Source organism: Homo sapiens, chromosome 16 (assembly GCF_000001405.40).
Source record: "Homo sapiens chromosome 16, GRCh38.p14 Primary Assembly".
NCBI classification, from domain to species: domain Eukaryota; kingdom Metazoa; phylum Chordata; class Mammalia; order Primates; family Hominidae; genus Homo; species Homo sapiens.
In genome coordinates this window covers 85,553,537-85,573,056 of record NC_000016.10, presented here as the reverse complement: position 1 = coordinate 85,573,056, position 19,520 = coordinate 85,553,537, and the positions used below count along the sequence as shown (strand labels likewise).

Genomic DNA, 19,520 nt, shown 5'->3' with positions numbered 1-19,520 from the left:
CCCTACTAAAAATACAAAAATTAGCTAGGTGTGGTGGCGTGCGCCTCTAATCCCAGCTACTCAGGAGGCTGAGACAGGAGAATCTCTTGAACCCAGGAGGCGGAGGTTGCAGCAAGCAGAGACAGCGCCACTGCACTCCAGTCTGGGCGACAGAGGGCTGCCGGCCCTCTGCATGTGTGATTCCTCTCTTGCAATGCCCTGACTTGATCATCTGCAGGTTCTCCAAAGTGGGCCTTCCTTTAGGTAATAGACAAGGCCCCACACCTCTTCCAGAAAGCCCACAATGACCCCTTGGCTCCCCTTTCCCGGATGAGGTCCTGGAGCAGCAGGGGCCCCTAGGGTTGGGGGAGCCCTCGGAAACCGAGGGAGGAGAACTGGGTTCCGGAGCAGCCCCTGCTGGGTTCTAAGCAGCCCATCCCAGGCACATCATTTAACCTGCTCTGGAAAAGAAGGCAAGGCACACTGTGCTCACACACAGCCTGGTGTGTGTGTGTATGTCGTGTTGTGTGTTGTGTGCACGTGTATGTGTGTGCGGTGTGTGTGTGGTGTGTGTGGTATGTGGTTGTGTGCATGTGGTGTGTGTGATGTGTGTTGTGTGTGTGGTATGTGCTGTGTGTTGTATGTGCTGTGTGTGTGTGGTGTGTAGTGTGTGTGGTGTGTTTGTGTGTGGGGGTATGTGGTGTGTGTGGTGTGTGATTGTGTGTTGTGTGTGGAGGGGTATGTGGTGTGTGTGGTGTGTTGTGTGGTATGTGGTGTGTGTTGTGTGTGGGGGTATGTGGTGTGTTGGTGTGTGTGTGGTTGTGTGTGGTGTGGTGTGTTTTGTACGTGTGGTATGTGGTGTGTGCGTGCTGTGTGTGTTGTGTGTGTAGTATGTGGTGTGTGTGTAGTATTCAGTGTGTGTGTGGTGTGTTGTGTGTGGTATGTGGTGTGTGTGTGTGCGTTGTGTGTGGTGTGTGTGTGGTATGTGGGGTGTGGGGGGGTGTGGTTGTGTGTATGGTGTGTGGTATGTGTTGTACGTGTGTGTGTGTGCTATGTGTTCTACGTATGCATCACTAGACACTAGTACTGATGTCCTCCAGGGTCCACCTGGTCCCCACATCCAATACCACTTGACAATGGAAACCACTCCTTCCTTCATGAAACTGCCACTTGGTGGTTTGTGCCCCCACGCCCAACTCACTTCCCCATTTCATGGACAGCCACCGTCTCTCAGATTCCAAACATGTCCCTTGCTGCCAGCTCCTCCCTGGGCCTGGCCACCGACAGGGACCCTCTGCAGCCTGAGCTCCGCCATGGCCTCTGCCCCCACGCCTCTGCCTCCCTTGCTGGGGCCTCCTGCAGTCTCTGACCTGTTTCTCCCCCTCAGTCCTTCCTGTGTTTAATGTCAAAAGGTCAGTCAGTCAGGTCCCTGCTCCAGGTCCCTGTGGCCCCAAACACGGCAAAGACCTCCCCACTAGGCTCTCAAGAGCCTCCCCGAGAAGACCCGGTGACGCTCCCAGGCCCGTGCCAGTATCGCTCCGAGGATTGCAGGCCCAGCCTTCCAGCTTCTGGGCTGAGGACTGGCACGGTCCGGTGGAACTTTCTGGAACAATGGAAATGCTCTCTATCTGCACTGTCCGACTGAGCAGCCTCCATCCGCACGTGGCTGTTGGGGGCTCAAGATGGAGCTGCTGTGATTGGGGCACTGAAGTTTTCATTTTCTTTAATTTTGATCAGTTCAGTTTTCAGGTCTGATAGCCACGGATCTATGCTAGTGGCCACCACATTAGGCGGTGCAGGTCCAGTGCCCTGGCTATCCAATGTGAGGCCTCTGGGCCAGCAGCACTGATGCCGCCCGGGCCTTGGAAGGGTGCACGTGACTCCGGGGCTCAAGGGAGGGAAGTTCCCCTGTGCCTTGTTAGAAAGGCAGAGCCTAGGGCCCCTCCCAGACCCGCTGAATCCGAACCTCCCCTTTAGCAAGATCCGGGTCACTGGAGTACACAGTACAGTTTGTGGCATGCTGAGATAAAAACCACTCTCCTCTTCACACCTCCCCCACCTTCCCTTTTCAAAAGTAACCAACGCTTCAGAATCTGCTTCAAGCACCACCTCCTGCAGGAAGTCCTCCCAGATCACTCCAGCCAAAAGGAAACTTTCCATCCTCCAAGCGCCTGGAGTTACCTGTATCCTTCCAACCCCCAGAAACTTGGAGTCAGTGGCTTGCGGCTGAGCTCCTGCCTCCTCCGGCGTCCGGCAGGGTCTTCGAGAGAATCCTGTGACAGACTTTCCACCCTCCCCCTCAGCCCCTCCAGGGCCTGGCACCAACAGGTGCTCAGGAACTGCCCTGGCAGTTGCACTTGCAAGAAGCCAACGTCTCTTTCCAAACCAGGGCAAGGAGAACAAAGTTGGTTGCGGGCTATTTGCGTTCCTATTCCTCCCACGCGGCTCACCCCACCGGTCTGACCCGCTGGCCACCTCTCTCCGAGAGCCCTAGAACCTGGGAGGTGACAGGGCCCTGAGTCAAAGGCATCAAAATCAGATGAAAAGCCAGGCAGGTGGAGTTATGGGTTTCAATAGCCAAATAAAACCGCACATGCTTTTCATGACTCTCTCTGCAGGCTGGGATCAAGTGCCACGACTTTGTCACACAGCAGGTGTCAGTTCTCGAAGTGCCTGCCAGCAGGCCACTTGCGGGAACCCCCAAAGCCCCAGAGAATCCCTGGCAGAGGCGGGTCAAGGGCCAGGTCTTTCCTCTCCCCATTGCACTCCCTCTCCTAAGCACAGACTTGACAGCCTCTCACATGCTGGGAGGCTCTGAGGACCTCCTCCAGCACCAAGGTCCTTGAAGATGGACACTGACCAAGGGCCAGGCCCATCCAGAACTCCCCCCACCTTGGAAGGGGCCCTCAGAACCAGCCTGTGTGCCTAGGACTCTGGCAGGCAACCTCTCATTCCATCTGGCCACTCAGCTAGCCCGACGGCTGCTTCTCCGAAAAGCTCACTGCAAGAAGTGGCCAGTTCAGCCTGGGAACTCAGGGCCGCAACTGTATCTTGGCTCTAATCCCGGAAGCCACCAGAAACCTCACTTTTCTCTGTCCTCCTCCGACAGAGGCGGGGATTGAAACCCCCACCTCCACCCCCTAGGGCTCAGGCAGGAAGTGGCCTCATCTCCACACAGAGGTGGGCGGTCTCCAGGGCTTGTATTACAAATGGGTCTGTCCAGGCGGTGGGCAGGTGCAAGGCCCCCCGGAGAGACTGGCAAAGCCCACACAGGCCTGATGCAGTGCAGAGGCTTTCCCCAACGCACGCCACGGCCACAGTGTAGTAAACTCTTCGGTTCCTGAGAAGCAGGGAAAACACACGTAACACGAGACGGCAGTCATCCGCATATACCCGTGTGTGCTGGCACTGAGCTAGGGAGTCCCAGGAGGTCCTGCGCTGGAGCTTCTCTCCCAGCAGGAAATCCAGTGATGATGACGATCACACAGACGATAATACCAAGAGCAAGTCCGCCCTTCCTGACAGCCTAGACACCACACTAAGCTCTTGAAATGTACAAAGCCTTTTAATTCTCACAGCAGCCTCAGGAAAATTATCCTCCACATTTACCACCCAAGTAAACTGAGGCCCAGAGAGTTTCAGTAACTTGCCCACAGTCTCATACACAAGGACTCAAGGCGGAGCAAGAATTCACATCCGACCACTTGGCCCCCAGGCCCAGGGGCTCAGCTACTAAATAAAGAGCTACAGTGGTAGGTCACGGTTGCTTACTATCTACCCAAGAGCACAGAGCAGGGAGCGGCCACTCCTAACAGGAGTGAGCACTGACCGTTCCCAGACACCTGGGCTCAGCGCTCTAGGCAGCAGGAACAGCCTGGCCAAAGGTGTGGAGGACAGGTAGAGAAGGGCAGGCTAGAGTGTTAGGCAGGGTTGGCCCTGTCGGGGAGAAAAGGATCCCAGCAGAACCATCTTGGAAAAAATGCAAACTTACTATTTCAAGAAGGCTTGAATTTGGGAGGAGGCTCCGTTGCATGCCACCCAGAAAGTGACCTCAATGACACTAACCATGATCATACTCCAGAACCAAAGATTATCTGTTAAAGGGACTCATTTCTAGGGGTCTCCATCCTTCCCAGGAGGCTCTAAGAGGGGAGTAGAGGCAGAGAAGTGGGAGCTTCCGGCTCCTTCTGCACAGACGTCACCCTCATCCACAGCAGCTCCAAAGTGAGAACAGACCGCTGTGAACCCAGGGTGATCCAGGGGGTCAAGAACCCTCTGATTTCTGCTCCCATCTTGAGCTGGCCCCAGCCCAGCCCTGGTCGAGCTTCAACTTTGCTAATGAGCTGTGAGTTACCAGCCCCACCTCTGGACCAAGAAACTAAGGGAGTGAATGGGGAAGGGTTTCCCAAGAGCCTCCGCCCTGGGTAATAAGCCCGTATCTGGGTCACGAGGCTGGCTGCCTGCTCTAGCCACTGATCAACCAACCCTGTACTGAAGTCAACGATGAATATTCATGAGCCTATCCAGTTCCACACTTTCATTTCTGGCCCAAATTAATAATTTACCATGGAGTTTCATAAAAATCAGACATAGCTCATTAGTAGCTCCCTAAAAGGCACTCCCATCTTCCCACTGATCCAGTGAGGGGCCCATCTTGCCTCTGTGACAAGAAACAACACCCTTATTTTCAGAGACAACCCTCACTATTATTTTCAGAGGGCTGGCGAACCTGAAATTGGGGGCCGCCATGACTGTGGAGGCCCACCCCGGAGGCCTACCAGCCTCCCCACCAGGGCACAAAGACCTCTGCCCTCAAAGCTCCATGTCACAGGTCTTCAGGAAACTCCAGAAGCAGACCCTGGAAGAAGATGGAACCTCTTTCCTTCCTCAAGGCAAGGCTACCACTCTCTGGAAACACATACTTCACAGAGGATGTGGGTGGGTGGAGCATGTGTAGCTGATGACATTTTCCAGAGAGGAAACATCAATTGCATCTCCCAAACCCCATGCCCTTCTAGAAGGGTACCATTCCCCCATTAAGAGGTGGAGCCCAGGCCAGGCACAGTGGCTCGTGTCTGTAATCCTAACACCACTGGGAGGCTGGGGCAGGAGGATCACTGGAGCCCAGGAATGCGAGATCAGCCTGGGCAACATAAGAAGACTCTGTCTCTACAAAAAAATTTAAAAATTAGCCAGGTGTGGTGGTGCATACGTGTGATCCCAGCTACTTGGGAGGCTGAGGCAGGAGGATCACTTGAGCCCAAGAGGTAGAGGCTGCAGTGAGCTGAGATCGCACCACTACACTCCAGCCCGAGCAACAGAGCGAGACCCTGTCTCAAACAAACAAAAAGAGATGAAGCCTAACTCCCCTCCAGTTGAAAATGGGCAGGCTTGTCCCTCACTTGCAACCAACAGAATGTGGTGTGGTACAGCCTTCCCTCCGAGGCTAGGCCCTAAAAGGCCGTGCAGCTTTCCGCTTGTGAGCTGGGACCACTGCCTTCGGAGCTCTGGGGCCGCCATGTTTTGAGGAAGCTCATGCCACACTGAGGGGCCACGAGGAGGCGTCCCAGCGTTGAGAGCCCCGGCTGCGGTCTGGCGAACAGCCAGCACCAACTGCCAGGCCTGAGTGAGAGGAGCCTTCAGACGACTCGGGACTCTGCACAGCAAATCACCTTGCCTCCCAGTCTTCCCAGCTGAGGCCCCAGGTGTAGCTGGGCAGAGACCGGCTCCACCCCACCACACCCTTTCTGAATTTCCAACGCACAGCAGCTGGGAGAATAAAACGATGTTTTATGACCACACACTTGCTCATGAAGTCTTCCTCCATGCCAGGAGCCCTGGTCCCCTGCAGACCCACCCACCAGCCGCCCCATCCCCTCCCCCGCAACGGTTGGTCTGACCTGCCCACCGACAGGCCGGCACCCTGTGGTGAGTGCTGTCATAAAGACAGCACAGGCGGTTGAAATCCGCCTGTGAGTGAAACTTTCCAGGAGAGAAATTGGGCGGAGGGGGGTGGGGGTGGGGGTGGGGGTGGGGGTGGGGGCGGGAGTAACACCTTGTCCCTGGGCCCTTAAGATCTAAGATAAAGGCCGTGACACTTCCGACAGTGACACAGGTTCTTGGAGCGGGTGAGAGGCCTACGTGACCGCCCCCTACTGCCCATGCAGTGGCCGGCCCTTCCGCTGCGGCCCCTCCACAGCAAGTTCAATTAAGACCCCGCCATTCTCTCCTCCTCCCTTCTTTTATGTTCCCTGCCGGCCCCCCTTTCTCTTGTCAGATAATCACGGGAAACCAGCAAACGGTTGACACAGTTACCAAGACGACAGAAGTTAGGACCAGCGAGGAGGTCTGAAAGCTAATCCTAAATGAATTACAGGACAAGAATGACAAGAGGTGGGGAGGGTTGGGGCCGGTTCAAAGGCCCCAGAGTCTGAGACAAGGTGCCATCGGCCTCGGGGCACTGGCTGTGGGCCTGTCACTCACTAAGGGTGACACTGAAGTCTTCTGGGGTTGGGGAGGTGGAAGAAGAAATCTATAACAAAGAAATTCTCCGCTGAGGCCGGGCTGGCCAATAGCGCCCTCCATCCAGTGACTCCTGGGGCCCAGGGTTCACCCAGTTCGGCTTTCCTTACATGGGACGCAGTGGAGAGAGGGCCAGGACGACCTCACCAGGACGATTCCGTTTCTTCTTTACTTATTCAGAACTTGCCGCCTTGTGACCACGGCGCTGTGCGTGGCCTGGGCTGGCGGACAGCCATTTCAGGAGTCTGGGCTTCTCAAAGACCCTCCCTGCCCAGCCCACTGCCTCCACCAGGAGTGACTTGGCCAGGTCTCCCAGGTGGGGTCCCCCTCTTCCAGGTCATTCTCAAATCCAAGATATGGACGGCGTGCAGCTGGGAGCATGACAGCTGGGAGCTATCAACCCAAATGGTAATTGCAGCTCAGGGTCCTACAGCGCTTGGTCCCTCCCTTCTGCCAGTTAACTCATCGAACACTGTCAGCAGCCCCAGGAGGCAGGCTCCGCTACTGGCCCCATTTAGCAGATGAGAAAACAGAGATCCAGAGAGGGTAAGGAACCTGCCCAGAGTCACACAGCCAGTAAGGAGCAGAGGCAGGATGGAACCCAGTGCTTAGGCAGCGCTGCAGCCTCAGAAAAGCCTGCTGCCCTGGAACCCACAGGGCCCACCAGAAGACTGGCAAGGACACCCGGGGAACCCTCGCCATCGGGACCCAACTCCTCCTGGAGCATGGCCGAGACCCAGGGTCCCTCCTGCTTCTTCTCACACCTTCTCTCAGGCTTTGGCCTGGTTCGAGCACCGCTCACCCCACAGCCTGCTCTCAAATCTCCTGCTGGTGTCCAGGGTCAGGTGAAGGGGTCAGGCCTGTTCTCTCACTCCAGTGGGCACTGGCATCCCCAGGAGGGCTCATGAACATGCAGACTCCACAGGAAACAGCCTTGGCACTCGCTGCCCTGGCTCTCTCACCCTTCCCCTTCTCTCCAGAGCTTCCCTCGAGGGACCCTTCGCCATGGGCCCCTCGCCGGTGTGGGCACTGCACGAGGATGCAGCTCTGGGGGCTTCTCAGGGGCATCTCCCTGTGCCTGGCCTGCGCTCCCTCTACACGTGTTAAACAAGCACAGGGGGTTGGTTGGTGGTTTTTTTGTTTTTTTTTGTTTTTTTTTTTGAGACAGAGTCTCACTCGCTCTGTCACCCAGGCTGGAGTGCAGTGGCACCATCTCGTCTCACTGCAACCTCCGCTCCCAGGTTCAAGTGATTCTCCTGCCTCAGCCTCCTGAGTAGCTGGGATTACAGGCACGCACCACCATGCCCGGCTAATTTTTTTGTATTTTTAGTAGAGACGGGGTTTCATCATGTTGGTCAGGCTGGTCTTGAACTCGTGACCTCGTGATCCACCTGCCTCGGGTTCCCAAAGTGCTGGGATAACAGGCGTGAGGCACCGTGCCCGGCCAAGTTGGTCGCTTTTAAGAACCCAGGTTCCCACTCACTGACAACAGAATCGAGTTCATGTGTCACCGGCTTGATGACATTCAAGACCCTCTTAAGACGTGGCTCCGACCCACTCCCCGGCTTCATTCCCACACTTCACCATCCCCTGGCCACACTCTCCCCACCCCTAAACTCTGGGCTCTGCTTCCTGCCAGAAGCTGTGAAGGGGCCCGTCCGCCACACTCCCGCACGCCTGGCTGTCTGAGGACAAGGACTGGGCCTAATGCATCTATCTCTCTGGCCTGCAGAGCCTGGGAGGAGCAGGGAACAGATTTGACAGGCACAGCTACCCCTTCCGCACAGGCTCCCTCTGCCTGCACATTCTCTCCTACTGTTCCTTGGCTTCTGGAAAGGGCCCTGCTGCCGGACACCCTCTGGTCCCCATGGTGCCTCTGAAGGACGCACAGGCTTCAGAGCCCCACCCCTAGAGGGTGCTGCTGAGCAACGGGGCAGGAGTGGTGGCCTTCCCTGCCAAGTCCCCACTGGTGAGGAATGTGGGTTTCCCCAGAGTAGAAAGGAGAGCTCAAATGTCACCTCCGCTCTGTGGCCTTCTTGGACACAGCCTTCACCCCCATCTCAAACCAAACTGTTTTCCTCTGCACGCCCAGAAAATTCTACACACACCTCTCAGCACCAGTACTTGTCACCCTGATTACTCAATCCATGCCCCCCACACACCACCACCAACACCACAACGTGGGCAGGGATGGCCCCATGCCCAGCTCCCGGCACACCTGACATGAACCTAATGTGCTGAGTCTTGTAAGAGCAGTTTCCCTATTTCTGTTCCTCCCTCCTCACTGTGTTAGCCTCCTTCCTCCCAGCCTCACTCACCTCGAAGCTCCATACTTCCAAAGCCTGCTTTTAGTGCCACCTCCTCCAGGAAGCCTTCCTGGATTCCCTCTGCCAGGATGCTTCTAAGAGTTTCCAGAGCAATCCATCTGTGCTCAGCTCTCTGTTTGCTCCCTAAGTGACTTACAGATAAAACATAGATCTCCTCTGCTGCTCCTGCCCAGTGGACTGACGCAGCGCAGTGCCCGGCACCCACTGGCGCAAGCCCTGCCCAGCTCACAGGGGGCCTGACGGGAGGTGCTTGGGAAGGGGAGGCTTGGTCTGTGTCCTCAGAGGACAGGACTAGGTCACAGGCACGTGTTCTGTGCGAAAAGCAACAACATCCTAGCTCGCCACAGTGGCACAGCCCGGTCCAACCCAGGAGCAGGACCTGCACGTGCCCAGCCTGAGGTGACCACGAGACCCCCAAATCCAGAGAAGGGAGGGACAGCCCGTCTGACCTCTGAGGTCCCTCCCAAGTCCAATGTTCCGTGACTTCCTGACCCCACAGGCCATTAAGCAAGCAGCCAAATGCCCACTGGGCGGCGGTCCAGGCCTGGTCAGAGGGCGCTTCCTGTCTCACTGTGGGAGGGAGCAGAGGATGGAGCTGCCCGGATCCTTCAGGGCCTGGGCTTCCGGCAGGGCTGAGCTCCAGAATGGGGTGGGATCACCCTCTGGAGATAAGACCTGGACCTGGCTTTACCCAAACCCCACCAGTGCCCTACTCCCGCAATCCCCCAGCCCCAGCACCCACTCCCAGCTTCCAGCACAGCTGTAATTGGGGCTGAGGGTAACGACCAGCGCCAACCCCAGCTGCGGAGGGCCTGGCATGTGTGGGAAAAAGCCGGAAAAATACATTTTCCCCTAAAGACTTGTAAGAAAATTCTCACTGATTTTTTTTCCTTTTACCCCAAGCTTTCACAGCACTAAATATGCCACACTTAGTAATTTTACGAGCAAACCAAACTATACATCACACGGTTTTATGTTCCTAAATTAACAAAAGGACTTTAAATCTATATGGCGCTCTTAAAAGAAAAAAAAAAAAAAAGGAAGAGGAGGAGGAGGAGGAGGAGGATACCATGTGGATGTTGATTCCCTCACCCCCGAACTCCCTCTTCCCTTCGAATACACGGTGCCCCTACAGCTTCAAAATTTCTGCTGATCCTGCAGCTAGACCACCAAAAGGGGACAATCCCAGACAGGGACAAGGATCTGTTTGGCTGAGGAGGTCCCCTAAGAGGGGATCCCATCATCCTTCCTGAAAGGCCACGTTAAGGGCCACAACAGTCTAATGATTTTCCCACAAAGAGTATGACAGGACGCAGCCTGGTTGATGGAGAGGCTGCCTCTACCACCCTAGTCTCCCCAAAAGTCTAAGGAAGAGAATTTGAAGTCAACAGGCCTGCGAGGTCTCCTGACCGCTGTGATCTCATCTACACAATGCCAGGGTAGACCAGGTGACTCCATCACACTTGACATTGGTGAGAGGGAACCCCCCTGGGACCGCTCCCCCCAACACGTGTCCATGTCCAGGAGGAAGATGGGCAAGCGACACGGAGCACCAGGCTCAAAGCAGGAGGCCAAGTCCAGACACGTCCTCCCCTTCCCGGCTCTGTCCAGGAGCTGTGTGGCTTGGGCCACCTGCCGCTCCCACCCTGCACTTTCCCCTGCGTAGAAGGACACGCATTCTTGCCCCGGAATCCAGGTAACATAATGACCATTTGCTCCCAGAGTACAAAGAAACCTCTTCTGTCTCCAGAGTCAAGGAGATAAGAAGAGAGTTTCCAGCGGGACTATATCAGGTTCCCACCCATGGCGTAACAACAACACATTTAAGCAAGAAAAAAACCTTAATGAGAACCAAATTGGGCAGGGGGGGTGGGAACCAGACCAGGCCCCTCGGAAAAGGGCTGGGCTGCAGCTGGGACAAAAGGGCCCCTGGCTTTCCCAGCCGACAGATGGAACCGTGGCGGCCTCCCCATCTCTCAGGGGTATCGGAAGATTAATTAGTGACTGCCTGGAAAGTGCTAGATGGAAGCCGAAATGCCTGTCCCCGCTGAGTTTCTGAGCTGTAAATAAGCAGCTTTCTCAATCACAACTAAAATAGCCATGTTTTCCTTTTATCTGAGTCAGATCCCATTAGGCCTAACCTGCGCCCAGAGTGGGTCTTGGGTGGCTCCGGCGCCACAGCTATGGTTTGCTAACGTCCCATGACAAGCCTGAGGCTATGCAAGACCTTGGTCCCTGCGGGTGCCCCGTCCCCGCCTCGGCTCCAAGCACCCTGGGAGTTGGGTTCCAGCCTGACCTCACCTCCAGACACCACCCCCAACCCAGGTGGGCCTGAGCCCCTGCCTCACACCTTGACTTTCTGGAAGCAGTTTAGATGGGTGGGAAATAGAACCCAGCGGCCCCCACAGGCCGAGCTTCACTCTGGGTACCCCAGCTCTCAGCAGGGGAAGCCTCAGCCTCCTGCAAGCCCCTCCCAGGATGGTCAAGAAAGGGGCCTAGGACAGGCCGGATGAGATATTTATGACTTGCTCTGGCCTCCGGGGGCAGCTGGGGCCGGGGAAATGTTCCAGGGGGACCCCGAGTCCTAGAGCAACCACCAGCAGGCTTCATGGCTATGGGCCAAGCCCCAGCTCTCTCTGGGCCTCAGTTTCCTCCCTGGAGGGCCGAGGGCAGCCTTTCTAGCAGTGGACAGTGATCCTGAGGGAAGGCCAGGGTCACCCAGAGTTCAGTGTGGGGCTGGGGTGGGGTCAGCTGATGGCTGAGGAGTCAGTCCTCCCTCCAGAAACGACAGGAACCAGATAAGGGGCTCGGAGGGCGCCGCTGCCAACGCCAGCGGCCAGCTCCCACTCAACACAGTCAACAAATATTTATGAAGCAGGGACTCTGGAGCCAGACTGCCCAGGATCGGCGCCCTGCTCCACCATTTAGCGCACATGTGACCTCAATCTCTCTGTACCTCAGTTTCCCTGGCTGTCAAGGGGGGTAAGAGTAGCCTCACCTCCAGAGCTGTTCTGAGGAAGCACCGTGTCTGGCGTGGAATGGGAATAGTAGACGAAGCAGCCACTGCCTCTTCCTCATGAATAATTTTTTTTTTTTTTTGAGACAAGGTCTCACTGTCACCCAGGTTGCAGTACAGTCGTGGAATCACAGCTCACTGCAGCCTCGACCTCCTGGGCCCAGGTGATCCTCTCACCTCAGCCTCCTGAGTAGCTGGGTCTACAGGCAGGCACCACCACGATCGACTAATTGTTTCTGCATTTTTTGTAGAGAGGGGTTCTTACCATGTTGCCCAGGCTGGTCTCGAGCTCCTGGGCTCAAGTGATCCACCCACCTCGGCCTCCCAAAGTGCTGGGACTACAGGTGTAAGATACCTCGCCCAGTCCTCGTTATTATTATTATTTTTTTTAGGATCGTTATTACTGGCCCGGCACTGAGTCTGGTAAAAAGGAGACACCCAGTCTGCGCCAGCATGGGGCTAGCAGCCTGGTGGAGTTCAGGAAAGGGGGGATCTAGGCATACATACATACATACAGAGGAAGGTTTGAGAAGGGACCCCCGTTTGAATTTCCCAGTCGCCCCATTTGCAGGAAGGTGGAGGCCACAGCTTGTGCCCTCCCACTCACCAGCCCCATCTCCTTTCACACATGCCCCTGCACCTTGCTCTCCCTGCAGCCAGCATCCCCTCACGGCTACCATTTCCCCCTGGCCAGTGAAGAAGCACTAAGAGGCAGACGCTACAACCATGGCGGCAAGAGGCCTGGTCCAAAGACAAGAGTTCAGGTCCCCACTAAGAAGCTCTATGACTTGGCCAGGTGCGGTGGCTCACACCTGTAATCCCAGCACTTTGGGAGGCCAAGGCAGGTCAAGAGATCGAGACCATCCTGGCTAACATGGTAAAACCCCGTCTCTACTAAAAATACAAAAAATTACTTGGGCGTGGTGGCGCACTCCCGTAGTCCCAGCTACTTGGGAGGCTGAGGCAGGACAATCGCTTGAACCCGGGAGGCGGAGGTTGCAGTGAGCCGAAATCTCGCCATTGCACTCGAGCCTGGCAAGAGAGAGAGACTCCGTCTCACATAAAAAAAAAAAAAAAAAAAAAAGAAGAAGAAGAAAAAAAAGCTCTGTGACTTGCTGCAAATAATTCTACCTCAATAACAATAATGACCGTGACAAAATAAGAATTATTATTATTACAGTTATCACTCGACAAGCGCTAACTTCATCCCAGGCACCATCTTCAGTGGACCTGCTCATTCTGTTTCTTGCAACAGAGCGTGGGCAAACTTTCTCTGTCCAGGACCAGACAATAACTAAAGATTTTAGGCGTGGCCAGTCCAGATGGTCTCTGCTCACAACTCAGCTTGGCCATTATAATGTGAAAGCTGCCAGAGGAACAGGCGTGGCTGTGTGCCAATCAAACTTGACTTACAATGGGCCGGGCCATGGATTGCTGACCCTTGCCTTACACTGATCCTGAGGGAGATACAATTATGGATCCCATCTTACAAATGGGAAAACAGACTCAATTGAGAGTATCAGTCACCCGCCCAAGGACACAGCTCAGGAGAGGCAGAGCCTGACTTCAAACCTACTGCCCAGCCTCAGTCCTCTCACCTGTCAAACAGGAGCAGCGGGTGCCTGATGCCAGCCTGACTGTGAACTGCCCCTGGGGCAATGGCTGGACAGGCGGGTTCTGGGCCCTTGCTCCCTGCAGTGTCTGGGATCTGGCATCAGGCATAGAAACCAAGTCCAAGAGGCTGCAGAGCACCATGGTGTCAGGCCTCTGTGGGGCAGGGTCAGCCTCTCATCCAGAACCACAGGCCCGAAGCAAGCCATGCTGGCTGCTGCACCTGGACCCCCTTATTCCCAGTTCAGTGTGGCAGACAGAAGCCAGCTTCATGTCCCAGCTCCGCCACTCCCAAGCTGGGCAATTGCTGAGCCCCTGGGTCTCACTTTGCTCATCTGATAAGTGGGTGGATGGCAGCAGCTACCTCAGAGAGAGGAAGTGAGATCTACAGAGAGCCCACAAAGCATTTGTAACAGGGCCTGAGAGCACTCAAGAGGACCAGGCCAGGGCTGGGCACGTAAAGCCTGTAATCCCAGCCCAAGGTGGGAGCCCAAAGTGGGTGGATCACCTGAGGTCAGGAGTTCGAGACCAGCCTGGCCAACATGGCGAAACCCCATCTCTACTAAAAATACACAAATTAGCCTGGCATGGTCGTGGGTGTCTGTAATACCAGCTACTCGGGAGGCTGAGGCAGGAGAACCTCTTGAACCTGGAAGGTGGAGGTTGCAGTGAGCCGAGATCACACCACTGCACTCCAGCCTGGGCGACACAGCAAGACTCCATCTCAAAAAATAAAGAGGACCAGGCCACTGCCGTTTCCATCACTCTCAATGCGTTAACCCCAGCCCTGGGAAGCCACTCCCTGACCATAGTTCTTCCCGGTAAGCCCTCACCCTGAATATTACACTAAGACAATAAAGTGTAAAACCCCAGTGGGGACTTTAAATACAACCACCAAAAAAACTATAATGCGGGGAAAGCCTGCATCCACAGGCTGAGATTTACTTGTGCCCCGACCTCCCCTCCCCTCACTTCTGACCTCTCTTAATCTCCCTGGGGGTCAGGACAAAAGTCACCCCTCCTGCCTACCCACTGGGGGCTTTACTCCAGCCTGGGCTGATCTTCCTTAATGGCTTTGAATTTCCCAGCCTGACACTTCCTCCTCCTCTTTCTGAGTCTCCCTGTGTAAACAGAAAATCGGTCACCTGATGAATAAATATGCACCAGCAGCCTCCAGTGGCAGGTGAAGAGGGGTGTAGATTACAAACACCTGTGCTTTGAAGACGCCCTGTACTTAAGAAGATTCATTCTTGGCACAAGCTGGTCCTGAGCGCCTCCAAGGCAGGCATAGCTGCCGGGGAGGCACAAGCTCTCTGCTTTCCCCAGCCACAGACCCGGGGGGAGACAGACGAGAAAAACCCAGATACAGCATGAGGATCTGTTTCATTTTGGGCTAAAGGGCTCTGATGAATGTCAGCGCGACTCAGACCCAGCCCTCATTTACCTGGAATCTTCCCATGGGAGAGATAGCTCTGAGTTCCCAAGGGCTCACTCCGCCCTCCCCTTACAACCTTTATTTTACTAAGTTGGGGATTCCCGGTTCTAATTTGGATTGGATCCGCTAGGGGAGGGAGGGAAAAGCGAAGCTTGCTGTTTGTTGTTGCTTTGCATTTCAGGCAGAGGAGGAGAAAAAAAAAAGATCAAGAATGGAATGGAAACGCTGGAAAATATTCAATATTCTTCCTATCAAAACGGCATACACACCAAGAAAAAAACATAGACCTGGTCAGTTACTGGGAACTAAAACAGACACCACGAAACTCAAAAAGAGTAAAAGTACAGATTTCCTCCAGGAGGAGTCTCTCCTGCCTTTTTTTTTTTTTTAAGTCAGTTGGACTCTGGTGACCCTCTGCCCTGCTCTGTTAACTCAGTGAAAACGTTTGCCCAGGTTAGGGCAGCAAAGGCCAGATCCAAGGGAGCTGGGTCCTGTCCAGGCCCCTTCCTGCCCCACACGCTCCTCCTGGGGACTCCAGAGAGGTGTGGAAGCCTCAGCAAAAGTGACAGGATCTTCTGAACAGAGGAAAAAAAAAAACCCGAAACCGAACACCGGGCCACGTGCACCCTTCCCCAGCAAAACAATTCAGAAATAAAGCTCCAGGGCAGCGTCTTCTGCAGAATTTTATAAAAGCCTCAACATGGGAAAACTAGGAACTTCCCCTCTCCTCCCTACACCCCCACATCACCCTCCCCACCCACACACACCCCACCTTCATTAGGTACCGTGTGTCAAAGCTCAAGGGAGATCAACTCGGAGGGAGGGAGGAATAAAATCAGCTCATTCCTAGAACCAGCAGTCACACGCAGCACAGCCTTCCTGACCTGCGTCACGTGGCCCCACCTGGGGCAGGCCTGTGCGTTTCTCCCCGACCCCAGGGGGCACAGGAGTGGGGGTGACGGCGCGCGGTGGGGAAGAACCCTGGGGTTCACCACCCAGGGCTCCCTCGCCTGAATTCCTGGATCACCAGCTTCCATGTAGCCTACACTTAATTTTTTTTAAGGTTTAGAAATCCAAATAAGGTGAATTCAGGAGGGGCTCCCCAAACCTCCAGCTGTCAACCCCCTCCCCTCCCCTCCCCTCCAGGCTGAAAGCGCGACTTGCCCCGAAACAGAAAGTTACAGGGCAAGCGGCTGTCACCGCGCAGGAAGGTTAAGGAAACAGGAAGCCACGCCAAATACCCTCCTGAGCTTCCCCGGCCCCCTCCTCCGACCTCGGCGGAACAAAACCTTCCAGGGAATCCCAGGCAGGAAGGGGGGCGGCGGGGGGGCCGGCGAGCCACGCTCGCGCCGAGACCGCGCAAGGGGGTTGGCTGGAGGGAGAGGGAAATAAACCCCAGGACTGGGGGGGGGGGGGGCATGCTACCCGATCGGGGCGGCCTGCAGGAAAGTAACTTCACACTCGGCGCTTACTTCACCTTGGAAGGTTTAAGTGCCTCGGCCGCTCGCTCCGCCGCCGCGGCGGAGCCGGCTCCCGGCAGACAAAAGGAGCGAGACGCGCAACCCCCGGCGGCGGCGCGATGGGGGCGGCGGGCCAGGTGGGCGCTCCCCGCCGCACGTAGCCGCGCACACCGCGGGCTTGACCGCAGCGGGAGGATCCGAGGCCGCGCGCGTCTGCGGGGGGCACCGGCGGACCCAATGCCCCGACCCTGGCTCGGGGGTCTGGCGGAGGGGGGTCGGGTGAGGGAGGGTCCCGGGCGCGCCGGCGCCGCGCGGGACCCAGGGAGGCGCACGGCTCGCTTACCTGGTAAGTAATACAGAGGCGGCTTCAATCCAAACATGGTTCAAATTAGAATTCCATAGTGGCCAGAGAGGGATGAAGAAGGAAAATAATATTAAAACCCAGGAATGAACAAAAAGCACCGTTCAAGCCACGGCGCTCAAAAATGTCCAAAACAATAAAATAAAGGCAGAAGAGCGATCCCGAGAGCGACGAAAAAAAAAAATCAGTCTTTCCCCCCCCCGCCCCGCAAGATGATCAAAAGGCTCTCTCTCCGACCAGCGCCCAGGCAATTTCGGCCACCTTGGCCCTGGCAGATCCACAATGAGGTAATTGACGACCAAGGACGGGCCGGAGCCTCCACGGCTGCCCGGGTGTCTTCGCCGCGTGTGTATTTTCTGCCTTTTGGACTTGAGATGCAAATAAAAAAAAGGAGGGGGGAGCGCGGCGGAGGGAAGCAGGCGGGGAAGAGGAGCGAGAGAAAAATAAAGGGGGGAGGTGAGGGTGATGAAATTGGGGGGTTAAGATCTTCAGGGATTACTCATTTGAAAGGAAAAGAGAGAGGGGGGAAAGAAAAAAAAAACAGCCCCCAGGACGTGCGAGTAGCAATCTCTCCTCCATTCAGCCATTTGAATGTCAAGGGCGAGGGTCAAGAGACCTGTTTCCAACAGGGTTTCACGTTCAGAACCAGAAGGAAAAAGGAAGGGGGGGGCGGCGGGAGGGGGTATCTCTTGTTGCCAAGGAGAAATCGGCTTTGTTTTGTTTCCCCTTAGCTACTGGGTGAGGAGGGGCGGGGTGGCGGGGAGAGGAGGAGGGGGCGAGCGGGAGAGGGGAGAGGAGAAAATTAATACCCAAACAGCCAAGAAGTACCGAGGGGGAGATTTCTTCTCGTAAATAAAAGAGGCGGCGATTGCAAACAAGTCTCCGGCAGGAGAAAGCAGGCTGGGGAGCCGGCTCCCCTCCCCCTCTCGCCACCAACACCCCTCCCCCCCCTTTTTTGGTTATCTCCCTGGCCCGGCGTCCCACCACTGACTCAGAGAGAGGGGGTGGAAGGAGGAGGAGAAAGAACTCGCGGGGGCTCTGGCGCCTGGGCAGAAGGAGGCAGGAGGAGAGCGGGGAGGCGAGAGCGCACGGCGGTGGAGAGCCCCTCGATCAATTTTCATGCAAGAATCATTATCGGTAAATTGGAAAGCTGGCTGCCTGACAGCAGATTTGTCTCCCCTAATGAAAGCGAAAGGGTAGGGGCGCAGCGGCGGGCGGCTGAAGGCGGCGGCGGCGGCGGCTCCTTCCGTCTCTACGCGGCATCTTCCAACAGCTCCATGCTTCGCAGGGCGATAATAATAGTTTCACTTGCGAGCTTCCCCCCGCGCGGCCGCCGAGCCGGGCGGCAGATCCATGCGGACGGGGAGCGGGGCGCAGGAAGCCGGGCTCGCCTCTCCAAACCCGGGGAGGGTGCCGCTGCCGAAGGCAGGGTGCTCCCCTTCGCTCCGAAGCGGGGGCCGTTTGCAAACAGTGGGCGGCTGCGGGCGCCGCTGGCCCCCCCTCCGGCTGCCCAACTCCGCGCTCTGGCCGCCCGCCCGCCCGCCCGTCCGTCCTCCCTCCCTCCCCCCCCACGACTGACAGCTGCGGGAGCCGGGAGTTCGCCCTCCGCCAGGACCCGGGAGGAGAATCCCCAAACCGTGACCCGGAGACTCGGGGCCGCCTTTTGTGGAACCCACGCGGGGTTGCGGCAACGCACACGCCGGCCGGCCCTGGTGAGCTCCTCGGGCGAGCGGTTTGTTTCCCTCCTTTCTTTTCCTCTCACCCCTCACCCCGCACCCCACCCCTTAAAAATCCCTGTTGCAAGTGTAATCAAATGCTTGATAGCATCTCCCACACTCTCCCTGCACTGGTGCATTATCAGATCCGGGAAGGCATGCTTCCAGGCAAATAGACCTAATAAATGCTATTACTGGGATTCTGCAAGCCCCGGCTGCACCATAGTAACGAAAGCCCCGGCTAATTTGGTTTAAGAAAACGATCAACTGCACAGAGAGTGTGAGTGTGGAGCCTGTATCTCTCCTCCCCACGCCGCCTCCCTTTCACACCAGCTCAAGAAGGCCCCATGTGATAATTCCCCAAATCGAAGGGGAAAAAACCCTGCCGCCAAACCACATCCTGTGCGCTCATTGTCCAGCCCAGCGATTTTAAAGAGACAGGATCCATTTACCCACGTCCCCCCACCCTCTCCTTAAACGCACGCTGCAAAGCTGCCTCTTGATGTGACAATTTATTTTCAAGCCCTTTTACCTCCTGAGGGGCCCCTCGGTGGCACAACCAGCCGGAATCACGACTTGGTGACACTAAGGGGTCACCTTTTGACCCCAGATACAATCATGGTTTGAGGAACAGACCTGAGCCCGCAGGTACACACGGCGGGGCACCGCGCTCACACCAGGCTTGGGTTCCTGCCAACGCTCTCCAACCACTGCGTAAATCAGGGGTCCCCAGCGGCAGCCCCGGGGTCCCTGCTAAATGCAGCGGCTTCAAATGACAGTTGAACTCCCGGAATACGATACCCTAGAGAAAAGCTACGGAGGGCAAATTGGAGGAGATGGGGGAGTGGGGGCAGCGGCGTGCCTTTTGACCTCTCCAAGCCACTTGCCAAACCCTCGCCTACCCCGCCAGAAAAATTCTTAAATGAGCTGGGCGGAGCGCTCGGAGCCAAGGGAGGGGTGGCGCTCTTCCCCGCCGCCGCCAGCAGCTCGGTGGCTGCGGCGTGCTGGCGGCCGCCTTCCTCCGGGGCTCGACCGCCGGGGTGCGAGGAGCGTCTTTGAGTCCCCAAGCTCGCTGCTGCGCCCCGCCTGGCGCC

General features: G+C 56.3%; 1 protein-coding gene across 17 annotated transcripts in view, besides 14 other annotated features; it reads right to left on the bottom strand.

Moving 5' to 3' along the window:
• Positions 1 to 19,520, bottom strand: part of GSE1 (Gse1 coiled-coil protein) — a 506,689-nt gene that overhangs the window by 103,144 nt on the left and 384,025 nt on the right. For 4 of the 17 annotated variants that reach the window (XM_005255864.5, XM_047433827.1, XM_005255865.5 and 1 more), the window contains exon 1: positions 16,694 to 17,370. The exons of 9 other annotated variants lie outside the window; for them this stretch is intronic. In XM_005255864.5, the coding sequence (XP_005255921.1) occupies positions 16,694 to 16,730 (37 nt within the window). In that variant the 5' untranslated portion in view covers positions 16,731 to 17,370. Of the gene's footprint in view, positions 1 to 8,819; positions 9,847 to 16,693; positions 17,371 to 17,539; positions 17,622 to 19,520 lie in introns of those variants that run through there. 4 more of the 17 variants (XM_047433821.1, XM_047433836.1, XM_047433820.1 and 1 more) reach the window with 3 other exon arrangements.
• Positions 1,683 to 1,772: an enhancer, noted in NCBI's record as "active region_11277". NCBI's record gives its function as "activates an Ori minimal core promoter by ATAC-STARR-seq in GM12878 lymphoblastoid cells {active_cell/tissue: GM12878}" and the evidence as "EXISTENCE:reporter gene assay evidence [ECO:0000049][PMID:35858748]".
• Positions 1,993 to 2,142: an enhancer, noted in NCBI's record as "active region_11276". NCBI's record gives its function as "activates an Ori minimal core promoter by ATAC-STARR-seq in GM12878 lymphoblastoid cells {active_cell/tissue: GM12878}" and the evidence as "EXISTENCE:reporter gene assay evidence [ECO:0000049][PMID:35858748]".
• Positions 3,173 to 3,422: an enhancer, noted in NCBI's record as "active region_11275". NCBI's record gives its function as "activates an Ori minimal core promoter by ATAC-STARR-seq in GM12878 lymphoblastoid cells {active_cell/tissue: GM12878}" and the evidence as "EXISTENCE:reporter gene assay evidence [ECO:0000049][PMID:35858748]".
• Positions 4,693 to 4,888: a silencer, noted in NCBI's record as "fragment chr16:85601775-85601970 (GRCh37/hg19 assembly coordinates)". NCBI's record gives its function as "represses an EF-1alpha promoter that drives an FKBP-Casp9 reporter gene in an ReSE screen in K562 erythroleukemia cells {active_cell/tissue: K562}" and the evidence as "EXISTENCE:reporter gene assay evidence [ECO:0000049][PMID:32094911]".
• Positions 5,035 to 5,762: an enhancer, noted in NCBI's record as "H3K4me1 hESC enhancer chr16:85600901-85601628 (GRCh37/hg19 assembly coordinates)". NCBI's record gives its function as "activates a minimal SCP1, AML or CMV promoter by ChIP-STARR-seq in naive H9 embryonic stem cells {active_cell/tissue: H9 hESC(naive)}" and the evidence as "EXISTENCE:reporter gene assay evidence [ECO:0000049][PMID:30033119]".
• Positions 7,222 to 7,951: an enhancer, noted in NCBI's record as "H3K4me1 hESC enhancer chr16:85598712-85599441 (GRCh37/hg19 assembly coordinates)". NCBI's record gives its function as "activates a minimal SCP1, AML or CMV promoter by ChIP-STARR-seq in naive H9 embryonic stem cells {active_cell/tissue: H9 hESC(naive)}" and the evidence as "EXISTENCE:reporter gene assay evidence [ECO:0000049][PMID:30033119]".
• Positions 8,725 to 8,774: an enhancer, noted in NCBI's record as "active region_11274". NCBI's record gives its function as "activates an Ori minimal core promoter by ATAC-STARR-seq in GM12878 lymphoblastoid cells {active_cell/tissue: GM12878}" and the evidence as "EXISTENCE:reporter gene assay evidence [ECO:0000049][PMID:35858748]".
• Positions 13,527 to 13,736: an enhancer, noted in NCBI's record as "active region_11273". NCBI's record gives its function as "activates an Ori minimal core promoter by ATAC-STARR-seq in GM12878 lymphoblastoid cells {active_cell/tissue: GM12878}" and the evidence as "EXISTENCE:reporter gene assay evidence [ECO:0000049][PMID:35858748]".
• Positions 13,752 to 13,942: a silencer, noted in NCBI's record as "fragment chr16:85592721-85592911 (GRCh37/hg19 assembly coordinates)". NCBI's record gives its function as "represses an EF-1alpha promoter that drives an FKBP-Casp9 reporter gene in an ReSE screen in K562 erythroleukemia cells {active_cell/tissue: K562}" and the evidence as "EXISTENCE:reporter gene assay evidence [ECO:0000049][PMID:32094911]".
• Positions 15,328 to 16,186: an enhancer, noted in NCBI's record as "H3K27ac-H3K4me1 hESC enhancer chr16:85590477-85591335 (GRCh37/hg19 assembly coordinates)". NCBI's record gives its function as "activates a minimal SCP1, AML or CMV promoter by ChIP-STARR-seq in naive H9 embryonic stem cells {active_cell/tissue: H9 hESC(naive)}" and the evidence as "EXISTENCE:reporter gene assay evidence [ECO:0000049][PMID:30033119]".
• Positions 16,172 to 16,341: a silencer, noted in NCBI's record as "silent region_7809". NCBI's record gives its function as "represses an Ori minimal core promoter by ATAC-STARR-seq in GM12878 lymphoblastoid cells {active_cell/tissue: GM12878}" and the evidence as "EXISTENCE:reporter gene assay evidence [ECO:0000049][PMID:35858748]".
• Positions 17,051 to 17,180: an enhancer, noted in NCBI's record as "active region_11272". NCBI's record gives its function as "activates an Ori minimal core promoter by ATAC-STARR-seq in GM12878 lymphoblastoid cells {active_cell/tissue: GM12878}" and the evidence as "EXISTENCE:reporter gene assay evidence [ECO:0000049][PMID:35858748]".
• Positions 17,458 to 17,958: an enhancer, noted in NCBI's record as "H3K27ac hESC enhancer chr16:85588705-85589205 (GRCh37/hg19 assembly coordinates)". NCBI's record gives its function as "activates a minimal SCP1, AML or CMV promoter by ChIP-STARR-seq in primed H9 embryonic stem cells {active_cell/tissue: H9 hESC(primed)}" and the evidence as "EXISTENCE:reporter gene assay evidence [ECO:0000049][PMID:30033119]".
• Positions 19,270 to 19,519: a silencer, noted in NCBI's record as "silent region_7808". NCBI's record gives its function as "represses an Ori minimal core promoter by ATAC-STARR-seq in GM12878 lymphoblastoid cells {active_cell/tissue: GM12878}" and the evidence as "EXISTENCE:reporter gene assay evidence [ECO:0000049][PMID:35858748]".